Source organism: Homo sapiens, chromosome 1 (assembly GCF_000001405.40).
Source record: "Homo sapiens chromosome 1, GRCh38.p14 Primary Assembly".
NCBI lineage: Eukaryota > Metazoa > Chordata > Mammalia > Primates > Hominidae > Homo > Homo sapiens.
This window is the reverse complement of record NC_000001.11, coordinates 194,928,070-194,941,527: the sequence shown is the minus strand read 5'-3', so window position 1 is coordinate 194,941,527 and position 13,458 is coordinate 194,928,070. Positions and strand designations below refer to the sequence as shown.

The 13,458-nt window shown below is 35.2% G+C and overlaps 1 annotated feature.

Moving 5' to 3' along the window:
• Positions 11,862–12,062: a silencer, noted in NCBI's record as "peak621 fragment used in MPRA reporter construct". NCBI's record gives its function as "represses an SCP1 promoter by STARR-seq MPRAs in K562 erythroleukemia cells {active_cell/tissue: K562}" and the evidence as "EXISTENCE:reporter gene assay evidence [ECO:0000049][PMID:32103011]".

The following is a 13,458-nucleotide window of genomic DNA, read 5'->3' as shown; positions in this document are numbered from 1 at the left end:
TTAAATTTTGACTTTCTGTTTCTAAGAGGGTGAGAAATAAATTTCTGTTGTTTGAGACACACAGTTTATGGACGTTTGTTATGGCAGCCCTAGCAGATTAATACAGTAACAATCCCTCAATAAATACATATAAAATAAGGACACATACAAACTAAAATAGTAATGGTTTCTTAGAAATCTGCTTAATTGAGTATGCCAGCTATGACTGGGTATCGTGTGTTAATATTGTTATCCTCTTAACTAGCTTTTTCTAGGTAAAAGTTAAAATATTGTTTTCCAAAATTTGTACTCTACACTCTGCTAGTGTTAAGTATTATTTCATACTATTTCTATAATGCATAATATGGGCCTTGACTTTAGAATTATGTGTGGTAGAATACCATACGATTGTAAATCAATAGCTGTAGGTTTTAACTCTAGATATGTCATTATTAATTATGTGAGGTTAGACCAACTTTGAAAATTCTACTTTTTAAGTATATATATATATGCTTAAAATCAATAGATTGGCTTTGATATATCAGATCACTTCCAAATCTAAAATTATATAATTATGCGTGTCTCCTTGAACACTTCTAATTAGGAAATCTTCATTATATTTTTGCCAATATAACATTCTGTTCTATTTTTTTTTCAGCTTCCACAGTCAAGTTTCAGTTATATTTTAGCTACACATAGACATTTCACAACATATGGCAATCCAACAGTTGAATGTCACTACTAAGTAATGTTTAAATCATGGAGTGGATTTAATATATGCTCTATATAAAATAGGATTAAAACTTTTTGTGTGTGCTCCTGCCTCTGATCCTGGTTGAATCCCCTTTTCCTTAATCTAACTACATTAAAGTAGTTAGGTTGTAAGTAGTCTGGCTCCTGATTAAAAATCCATGACTGATTTTACAAGCCCAACCACAGGCAATTTACAAAGGCGTTACCTGGCAGGACTCACAGGGGAAAGCTGTCTTCCCCACACCAGACATGTTGCACAGCCAGTGCACTGCATTCTTTGGAAGGAGTTATAGTCAAGGACTCAGACAATCTGACAGGTCATGATTTTCCCATAGCTGTATTCCTAGCCTATTAGTTTTCATTTCCAGCTCTCTTTATTTGAGATTTGGCAGAGGTCTTCTTCAGGCTTCTGTACTGAAGCCTTCTTACAGGGTAGGAGGGTGTAGGTAGAAGGGAAAACCTAAAAGATGTTTCTCCCGACTCTGACATTTTCACTTCTAGCACTCCACTACCCAGTACTTTTCCACTCCATGACCACTCATAATCCACCAAGGTCCACGCAACTGCCTGAGCCTTTTTTTTTTTTTTTTTAATTTCAGGGTGAGGGTTCTTCCTCAATGAGATAACCTCTACATCTCTGTTAATCCACCTGACCCTCCACTGGTATGTTTTTCTATGGAGGAACATGGAACAGGGAGTCAGCACCTTTTCCTGCTTTAAAATATGCTTAGATCATTCCAGTAAGTGATTAAAGGCTAAGTTCTTTATTTTTTTATTTATTTATTTTTTTTGGTGTTGCTTTAATTGGCTACTCTGACACCAGACAGCTCAGCACTTCTGACACGCTTTTTTTTTTTTTTTTTTTCCTTCTCAGTCTCTCTCCCCCATTTCCAGCTCGGCTGAGCCCTTGACAGCCTCAGAAGAAGAGTCCATGGTATATCCAAAACCTGCATTTTCTTTTTAGGCAAATGTAGATAAGAAAGCTCTAATTATGCTTAGAATAATCTCCTGCTGTTTTGTTTTCTTTTATTTTCTCACAGATTCAACATTTTTATTTCTAACTCTTGTGTTTGAGGTTAGAGCACTATTGAAATAGTGGGAAAGGGATTTGTCTGATGTTTTTCTCATGGTTACACTGGATTTTTGGGTTTGGAGAGGAAGACCACAAAGGTGAAGTGTCATTTTCAATGCCACAGATAAAGAATAGGTGCTATTATTTTGACTTATCACTGATGCTGTGACATATTAATCATAGTTCTTTTAAATTCTCTGTCTGATATTTCCAACACCTGTGTCATATCTAAATGTGTTTCAGATGATAGTTTTGCCTCTTCAGACATATTTTTTTCTCTTGCCTTTTGAAATGCCTTGTAATTTTTTTGTGAAAAATCAAACATGTTGTATAGGGTAATATTTATTGAGATAAATAGGCTGAAACCTCTAAAGAGCAAGATTTTATATGATTCTTTCTAGAAGTTGAAAGGTGTTTAAAGTTTATTGTCATTGTAGGCACCAGAAGTTTGAATTGTTTTGGTGGCTTAGGGAGACATTATAGAACTATCTATATAAATTTTATTTTATTTAGTGGGCCTGTCTTCCGGGGCTGTGCCCTTCAGAAGTATCTCGTCCCTTTTTTCCCCCTTCCTGCCCCCTAGTCTCTTCTTGGGTAATACTGTTTGCAGACTCTTTCTTCAAAGCCCTCTTCCCTGTTGACTATGGCTTGTATTTATTTATATTTGTCTTAGGTGAGACAGGAAGGCTAGAGATAACTGGTTTGGTGTGGAAGTTTGTTACTCTACTAGGTTAAAGTTTTCAGATTCCACTGTGGTGAAGTACTTTCTCCTGGAAGTCAGGCTTTTGTTAGGGTGAAGAGTCTGGGTAGGTTTCATAATGGCTGCTTTTTTCTTTTTCTTGGTGATTCTACCTGGGGAGCTTTCTCTGATCCCCTTGAAAACCTGGTCAGATACATGAAAAAAAAAATCTGCAAGTATGTAGGAAATCACCAGGAATACAGATCCCACGAGTTTTTCAGTCTCATGTTAGTCTGCATTCAGCTTCCAGTAACTTGTCAATATACTGCTAATATTCCTACCAGTTTATGGCAAATGGTGGCTTCTGTGCTATATAAGAAGATCTCAGCTGTGACTGTCTGGATAGATCCAACTCTCAAGATTTGGGGTTAGTGATTTACTCTGCAATCTCATTCTCTTATGCATCGAATAAGGTTTGTTGATATTTAGTTTTCATGTGGCCACTACTGATACCAATATTTATTCTGAAAGTCAGTCTATTTCTTATTGTAAGGTCAGGACTAACTTCTAAGCACTTTGCAAGTCACTGCTGAAATCAAAGGCAGCATGTCCTGTTTTTTAATCCAAATACATCTTGAATTTATGTATTTTATCTCTATATTTACAATCAATTTTCTGTCCCAAACAAACATCTTTCATCATGGTACAATGCATCCTCTACTATGTATCTTTATGCTCTTTATTCTATTCTCCAGGTAAGAAGTAGATTGATATTTCAAATAATATCAGTTCACTGTTAGCACTCTCAAATTATTTCACATTGAATTCTAAAATCTCTTGCCCTGATAGACAATCCTATCTGATCCCTATATAGTTCATATACCACCAGTTGCCGTTTATTCCCAACCCAGTTTTTAAACCTCTGCTCTTACTCCTTTTGACATGGCTGTTTTACTCTTTTCATGTAAGTCTCTGCTTAAATCTAGTTTCTTAAACAGAGCTTCTTTAAGTACTTGAAACAAGAACCCCTGTATCCTAGAAATCAAACATGTTTAGCCTGTATAATATTTATTTATTTATCATTTACTCTTCTTCTAAAGGGGGAGAGTACAGTGACAAAAAAGGTATCTTTCTGGCTTGTTCAGCATCATATTCCTAAACTTAAAACAGCAAATACAAAGTAGGTGTTGAATAAATATATCATTGATGAATGAATTGTGTGCATCTTCCTAACATTTTTTAAAATTGCATATTTTAATCCCTTCTCCCTAATACACTGAGTTTGATCCACTCAATTTTCTTTCCTTTAAGGCAAAGCTCTTTCATGCCTTTGTATGTCTTATTTCTCCTTGTTCTTGTTACTCCATCACAACATACATATATATTTTTAACTAGACTAGTTCTTTTTGATGTCCTATGATTTAACTTTGAGGGATTATTTCTTTCTCATATAAAACTCCTGACAGGGGGTCCTGGGGGAACTTAGTAGCTTCACAGTCATCCATGACCTAACCCTTTTCCTCTTTATCTTCTTTTTCAACATATGGCTCCCATTTCATGATTCAAGATGATTGCTTCAGATCTAACATCACAATCACATGGGAGGTAGAAGATAAAGGAGAGAAACTTGTCTTTCTCTTCCTCTGCTAGAAGTTGGTCAAGTTGGCCACTATGAATGTCAAAGAAAATATATAAAGTCAGTCTTTATTCTGAGTGCTCACATGTTCATCTAATCTCTAGGAGTTCTACTGCAAAGAAGGAAATGGAAATATATTTGTGAAATATCAAGTAATCTCTGCCATTCTATTTAACATATATTCTTTTTATTATTCTCCATTTTAGTATTATATTTTAATATCAACACTTTTGCACAAGTTTTTAACATGATTTTTCATTTTTTTGTGTATTTCAGCTTTCTTCTGCTCTATGATAAGCCTTATTATGTCATTGAAAATCTGTTCTTTTCATCATATTTTCAACATTGCCTCACATGATATCTAGGATAAAGTAGGCACTTTTTAAATATTTATTGAATGGAAACAATGGGAAGAGATCTAGTTATTTATTTTATAATACATTTAATTTTATAGTCTGTATTAGTCTGTTTTCATGCTGCTGATAAAGACATACTGGAGACTTGGCAATTTACAAAAGAAAGGGGTTTAATGGAATTACCATTTAATGGACCTACAGCCCTGGAGAGGGATCAAAATCATGGGGGAAGGTGAAAGGCACGTCTCACATGATGGCAGACAAGACAAGAGAGTTTGCATAGGGAAACTTTCTTTCATAGAACCATCAGATCTCATGGGACTTATATCACAAGAACAGCATGGGAAAGACCTGGCCCGGTAATTCAGTTACTTCCTACCAGGTCCTTCCCACAACATGTGGAAATTCAAGATGAGATTTGGGTGGGGACACAGCCAAACCATCTTATACCACCCCTGACCCCTCCATTTCATATCGTCACATTTCAAAACCAATCATGCCTTCCCAACAGTCCCCCAAAGTCTTAACTCATTTCAGCATTAACTCAAAAGTCCATAATCCAAAGTCTCATCTGACACAAGGAAAGTCCCTTCTGCCTATGAGGCTGCAAAATCAAAAGCAAGTTGGTTACTTCCTACATACAATGAAGGTACAGGCATTGGGTAAATACAGTCATTCCAAATGAGTAAAATTGGCCAAAACAAAGGGGCTACAGGCCACATACAAGTCTGAAATCCAATGGCGTAGTCAAATCTTAAAGCTTCAAAATCATGTCCTTGATTCCATGTCTTACATCTAGGTCATGCTGATGCAAGAGATAGCGCCCATGGCCTTGGGCAGCTTCCCCTTTAGCTATGCAGGGTATAGCCCCCTTCATGGCTATTTCATGGGTTGGCATGGTATGGCTTTTCCAGTCAAATGGTGCAACTTGTCAGTGTATCTACCATTCTGGGGTCTGGAGGGCAGCTGCCCTCTTTCCACAGCTCCAGTAGGTGGCGCCCACTAGGGACTCTCTGTGGGGGCTCTGAGCCCACATTTCTCTTTTGCACTGCCCTAGCAGATGTTCTCCGTGAGGGTTCCACCCCTGCAGCAAAATTCTTCCTGGACATCCAGGCATTTCCATACATCCTCTGAAATGTAGACAGAAGTTTCCAAACCACAGTTCTTGACTTTGGTTTACTTGCAGGCTCAACACCACATGGAAGCTGCCAAGGCTTTTGGATTGCACTGCACCCTCTGAAGCCATGGCCCAAGCTCTATGCTGGATGCTTTCAGCCATGGCTGGAGTGGCTGGGACACAGCTAGGCTGTGCACAGTACAGGGACCCTGAGCCCAGCCCAAGAAACAACTTTTTACGCCTAGGCCTCTGAGCTTGTGATGGGCGGGGCTGCCCTGAAGACATCTGACATGTCCTGGAGACATTGTCTTCATAGTCTTGGGGATTACCATTCGGCTCCTCATTATTTATGCAGATTTCTGTGGTCACCTTGAATTTTTCTTCAGAAATAGGATTTTCTTTTTTATCACATTGTCAGGCGGCAATTTTTCCAGACTTTTATGCCGTTTCCCTTTTAAAACTGAATGGTTTAACAGCATCCAAGTCACATCATGAATGCTTTTTTGCTTAGAAATTTATTCTGTCAGATACCCTAAATCATCTCTCTCTAGTTCAAAGTTCCACAAATCTTTAGGGCAGTGGCAAAATGCCACCAGTCTCTTTGCCAAAACATAACAGGAGTCACCTTTGCTCCAGTTCCCAACTAGTTCCTCATCTCCATCTGAGACCATCTCTGCCCGAACCTTATTGTTCATATCACTATCAGGATTTTTGTCAAAGCCATTCAACTGGTCTCCAGTAATTTCCAAACTCTCCCACATTTTATTATCTTCTTCTGAGCCATGCTAACTGTTCCAACCATTGCCTGTTACCCAGTTCCAATGCTGTTTCCACATTTTCAGGTATCTTTTCAGCACTACCCCACTCTACTGGTAAAAATTTACTGTATTCATCCATTTTCATGCTGCTGATAAAGATATACCAGAGACTGGGCAATTTATGAAAGAAAGAGGTTTAATGGATTTACAGTTCAACGTCTCTGTGGAGGACTCACAATCATGGCAGAAAGTGGAAGGCAAGTCTCACATGGTGGCAGATAAGAGAAGAGAGCTTGGGCAGGGAAACACCCCCTTATAGGACCATCAGATCTCATGAGACTTATTCACTATCATGAGAACACCACGGGAAAGACCTGCCTCCATAATTCAATTACCTCCCACCAGGTCCCTCCCACAACATGTGGGAGTTCAAGACGAGATTTGGGTAGGGACACAGCCAAACCATATCATACTCTAACATTTGTTTTCAATTTCTTCATATTACTATTTCTATAATCTTTTATATTATTCCTATTAAAATAATAAAATTTATATAGCATCCTATAAGGAAAAAGCTATATTTTATGAAAAATATTATTTTAAGTGCTATAATACTAGATAATGTAAATGACAATGTAAAAGTTTATTTTAATTTACTATGTAACATTTATTACATCACCTATAACACATTTATAACTTTTTAATTAATTAATTTTTTATCTTACATAAAACATTTATTTATTTATTTTTATTTCAACTTTTACTTTAGATATGGGGAAAAATGTGCATGTTTTTACATAGGAATATTCTGTGATTCTCAAGGTTGGAGTATGGATCCCATCACCCAGGTAATGAGCATTGTGTCTTATAAGTAGTTTCTTAATCAATACCCCATCCTTTAGTAGTTCACAGTGTCTACTCATCCCATATTTTTGTCCATGTGTGCTCAATGTTTAACTCCCACTTACAAGTGAGAAGATGCAGTATTTGGTTTTCTGTTCCTGTGTTAATTCGCTTTGGATTATGGCCTCCACCTCCATCCATTTTGCTGCAAATGACATGATTTTATTCTTTTTTTAATGACTGTGTAGTATTTCGTGGTGCATATGTACCACATTTTCTTTATCCAATCTACCATAGATGGACTCCTAGGTTGATTCCATGTGTTTGCTATTGTGAGTAGTACAGCGTTGAACATATGAGTGCAGGTGTCTTTTTGGCAGAATTATTTATTTTCTTTGAGTACATTCCCAGCTCTGTTTTAAGTTCTTTGAGAAATCTCTAGGCTGCCTTCCACAGTGGCTGGACTAATTTACATGCCCACCAATAATTTATAAGCTTTCCCTTTTCTCCACTGCCTCAGTAGTATCTGTTGTTTTTCAACTTTTTAATAGCTATTCTGACTGGTGTGAGATTATATCTTACTGTGGTATTAATTTGCATTTCTCTTATTATGAATGATGCTGAGCATTGTTTCATTTTTTTCATGTTTGTTGGCCACTTGTGTGTCTTCTTTTGAGAGGTGTCTGTTCATATTCTTTGACCATTTTAAAAATTGATTTATTTGGTTTTTGCTTGTTGATTTGTTTAACTTCTCTATATATTCTCAATATTAGGTCTTTATCATATGCATAGTTTGCTAATATCTTCTCCCATCCTGTAGGTTGTGTGTTTACTCTGTTGTAGGTTTCTTTTGCTGTGCAGAAGCTCTTCAGTTTAATTAAGTCCCACTTGTTTGTTTTTGCTTTCATTGAAGTTTACTTTGGGGACTTAGCCAAAATTCTTTGCAAGGAGAAATGTTGAGAAGAGTATTTCCTAGGTTGTCTTCAAGGATTTTTTATAGTTTAAGGTCTTATATTTAAACCATTAATCCATTTTGAGTTAAGTTTCATATATGGTGAAAGGCAAGGGTCCAATTTCATTCTTCTGCTAGTCAGTTATTTCAGCAACATTTATTGAACAGAGTGTCTTCTCCCCATTGCTTGTTCTTGTCAACCTTGTTGAAGAGCAGATGGTTGTAGTTTATTTTGTAATTGACAAATGACCTTGTATGTTTCCATCATGTACATCATGATGTTTTAAGGTACATATAAGTTGTGAAATGGTTAAATCTAGTTAATTCACAAAAGCTTTACCTCACATAGTTATTATTTTTGGGCTAAGAGCCTTAACATCCATTATCTTTATATTTTCAAGAATAAAATATATACAGATAAAGAAAACATCTTTAAAATGAAACAATTTTGTTTACTAGCATATTATATAAAAATGTGGGATCTCTGAAAATATCAAATAGCATTCTAGTTTAAATTGTTGCACTTACATTCTATGCAAATAAACTTTTAAATTGTATTAATTTCTTGGCTATATAAGTACAGGCATGTTTGCTTTGTTCATTGATATTAAGTTCCTAGAACAGTTGACACATTTTGAATACAAATTGCAGATAATACAGGAAGAAAAAAGAACAATGGTTTTTATAAATCATCTATTTCTTATGTAACAGGCAACTTAATAAGCAGTTAATATGTATTATTATATTTAATGTATAAAGCTTTAAATATACTTATACAAATTTGAAGAACTCAGGGCACCCTATTCCTCTGCTCACAGATATCTATTTTAAAGTCGACATGAGTAAGTGATAAATTCATCAATATAAAATAAATGTAAAAATATTTCAAAGTGATTCATTTGTACCAGACCATTTAAAAAGAGGGGATAAAATAGTATCAATGGGGAAGGGCATGGCGGGTCAAACCTGTAATCCCAGAACTTTGGGAGACCGAGGCAGGCAGGTCACGAGGTCAAGAGATTGAGACCATCCTGGCCAACATGGTGAAGCCCTGTCTCTACTAAAAATACAAAAATTAGCCGGGCATGGTGGTGGGCACCTGTAGTCCCAGCTACTCAGGAGGCTGAGTCAGGAGAATTGCTTGAACCAGGGAGGCACAGGTTGCAGTGAACCGAGATCGCGCCACTGTACTCCAGCCTGGCGACAGAGCGAGGCTCCATTTAAAAAAAAAGAAAAAAAAAAGTATAACTTGTACAGTGCATACTGTTGATTATAGGGACATCACTGATGTTACAAAAAAATATGGTTGCCATCTCTGCTATTCAACATTATTTTAATAGTATATACCACAGTACAATGAGATAAGAAAAATAAATTACAAATCTATATATCACATGAATATATACATCATATTTAAGAATGTCTACCATATAGTAAGTACTACAAGATATTCCAAGTGGCAACACTACTGATGATAACTGAAACATTATTTCATGAGTTTAGTAAGGTGCCTGATTTGAAGATACAAGTTAATAACTTCATAAATGAACAGATAAGCACAACACATAAATGGCTCTGCCCTCATAAAATTTACATTCTCACGTGTTTGTATGTTGCGGTGGTATAGACATAAATATAATAAATGAATGTTTCAGATTGTATTTTCTGAAGACAGCTCGCCAGTGTCTCCCGTGCCCGTGTGCTATTGTGTAATGTCATCTGACATTCCTTCAGTGAAGAAGTGGGGCCCAGGACCTCTCTGCTTGAATGTGGGCAAAGTTGTAACTCCTTTGTAGTCAGAAACATGTAATGTTGTACGTCTTCCAAGCATAGGTGATAATAGGTGAAGGAGCTGTTTTCTTTCCTGAAGCCCTGTAGTGTCATGTAAGAAATCTGATAGCCCTAAGTCCTCTATACTGTAGGAAAGATTAAACCAGCCCTGGCTGAGAGGCACCATGGCAAAGCTGTAAGACTTCCCAAAGAGAGAAATTCCTGACCAACCTCCAGATGCTCCAACTCTAGCTATTGCACAATAGAAAGCCTGAGCCAGAACCACCTACATGGCTTTTCCTGAATTTATGATTTATAAAACCCATGAGTGTTAACAAAGAAGAGTATTACCTTCTTAACCACTGAATTTTAGGTCATTTGTTGTGCAGCAATCCATAAATGGAACAAGTAAATGAGCTTGTTAAGTAATAAGGAAAAACAAAAACAAAATGCAGCAAGAAAGATGGATCACAAAAATGTGAGGTAAGTTTTCAGTTTTTAATATGAGGGTTGTGGTAGGCATTATTGAAAGGATACTTGGGAGTGGGGAACCTGAAATGAGTGAAGTGGATGAGAAGGATCATAGTTGTCTTTAGAAATTTAGAAGGTCTATTTTGCTTTAAGAACTCCCTGAATTTTAAGTTTCATTCCATCAGGGCACCAAAATATACCAAGAGTTCCTCGTAATGTTTTCTGGCAGCTACTATATCAAGCTAGTCTGTTTGCTTTAAGAATGATTTCTTTCTACTTTATGGCTCATCAAGTGCTCTATGCAACAAAATTCCAACACTAACCCCAGATTGCAGAGTTAAATTATTTTTTACTAAGAGCACTTCTCCTTAATTCCTATATTATTTTTAAGTTACTTTTTTGTTAAGCTCAGTAAAGAATCTCAGGATATACCAGGATTTGAATAAATGTTAAGTTACTATTTTTTATCTTTCTCTGTTTACAGTGTTCCTTTTTCTTTGAGGACTTCATATTATTACTTACCACTTGTCATCTGTGGCAAACTGAGATGAAAGAGAATTAGACATACTCAAACTCAAAATGCAAATTTTATAATGCATCAACTTCTCACTGGACGCAAGCAGTCTAACTTGCACCTTTCAAACCAGTGTTTCAAAAATTGTGGCACAGTGACCACCTCTGTCTGGGTAACCTAGGTCACTTGTTATAAACTTGAACTCCTGGGCTCCACCCTGATTTACCTTATTTATTAAGGGTGGGAGCTAGGAATAAGACTGTAACAAGCTCTATGGTTCATTCTGTTGCACAACTTCAAAGCTATTGCTTTACATCATCTACTTGGAATTGAGTAGAGATTAATCATGTTGTATAGTAAAAGATTTTCTTGAAATTTGCTAACCTTCACCGTAGGCCAGTATGAAAAGTAAACATTTCTAGTTAACATTCATTATTTGTGTTAAAGATATTGCTCAGTAGCCAGTATTGAATATTCAGAAAATGAGATATAATTTTAGAGAAAAGTTTAAACCTAAAACAAAATACTGGATGATAGGAAATCCTAAAAAATCTGGCCATTAACGCCCTTCGGCACAAAGAGTTCAGAGGAGATAAGAAAAAAGTAGATTGGAAAATTAGACAATAGAATTAAAAACTGTGACTGAGATAGCTTTCAGAAGGAAGGTTTTAAGAAGTACCCACAACAAAGAAAACTAATTTCTTTTTTCCTTTTTACTCTCAGGATTAATCACAAAGTATTTTTAAAAATTAATTATTAGTCCCCTTTTCTTCTTAGTGATTCACCTCTGAAAATAAACCATTTAAATATGTTCTTACAATTTCCTGCTGTTTTGGTCAGCATTATTCACTTTGGTGGCAGCAAATGTCAGGAGGATCATTCCAGAACCAGGTTGTCACAAATTAACAACCAAAATCACTTTACAAAAGCCTCTTGGAAAATGAGTGTCACTTCTCTTACTCTGGAGTTTCATCCATGTAATAATACCAAAAGGCAAGAGACATGAGGCAACACAGACACATAATCCCTTAGGTTACTTGTAATTTCACTACCACTGCAGCTGATAAAATCAAGTGTGGGTACTGTTTTCATGCTTGGAAGCTTAAGTCATATGCTTATATTCATAAATCAAACCCTTGCCTAGATTTTCTCTATTACATTCATTTACATAAACTCCTTACAGACATATGCAATATTTGCCTCTCTGTCAACTCAATAATATCAAGACAATCCAGTCTTTCCCCTTATATCATGTTTGTTTCTTCATGTGTTTTAGCAACAAAGATAAGCTTCATGGATTATGGACAAAAGTTTCCCTAATACTACTGATTCTTTCATTCAACAAGATAAACAAACAAACAAAAGACAACTATTTCCAGATATATATGATTATAAATCATAGCTTTTTATGCGCATAGCATTTTAATAGCCTTTTCATACATGTTCTTGAAACATTTTTTCCAAAAAAATTGCATATTATTGCATTATTATGTAATTATTGTTATAAGTATTATCAAATTTCACTTTATGCTAGATTTATAATCTTGTTAACTTTTTAAAGGTGACAAGGCTGTTTACAATTATACATCCAGTACACATATTTTTTACTTTAAAGATAATGTTGGGCATAATTGTATTTGGTGGAAAAAATTTTTTTTAATGTTTACTGTGTTCAGTTTATATAGCAGCAGTGTACGAGGCTGTAAATGCAAATATTATAACATTTCCCAAGTTGTATTTTATACAATAAAGTATTCAGAAAACATTAATAGATTTGCAAAGATATGATAAACAAATGTTATAAAACTAAATATGTTTATGAAATGAGTTTTAAAAAACAAGATTTATTAAGACAGAGCTTTTCCATATTTTTTCATATGATTATAAGTGTTTTAAACTCCAAGAAGACTATAGAGCATGCAGCATTACCCAGACTTATTATGAAACAAGAAAACCCTTTCACTCTATAATTCTGCTCCTGAAAGTCCTTTAGCCTTTGTCATTTTTCATATGAAACACATTTTGGAGATCTCTAGCCTATTACCATTGTTCTATTTCATATTTTGCCCTCATTTCCTGTTACTCTCATATTTTGATACCTGAATGTGTAGTTTTATTGATTATCCAATGATATGTGTTATCAATATTTATAATATAAATGGTATCCTTTTATATAGATATTTATGTTTATTTATTGAAAAACTAAATTCTTATTTCTATCAAATTTTAACTTTATACTCTGTGAAAGAAAGTTTAATTATTTATATAAGTTCATTAAATATAAATATATTAATAATTATATTTCATGGCAAGGTCCATTTTTTTTAGGAGGATCACAGGACACATCATGCGACTTTCATTAATTTAGACATTTAATTAGAACCAGAGACATTTTTTAATAAGATAGACTACATTACAGTTTTCAGAACTAGAGACTTTCTTTAGTAAGACATACTACATTACAGTTCTTACCAAAAAAAGTGAATTAGAATGCTAATTTTTTGACACCCCAAATGGAAGAATATTATTTAAAATTAAAAGTTTATTATCTTTTAAAA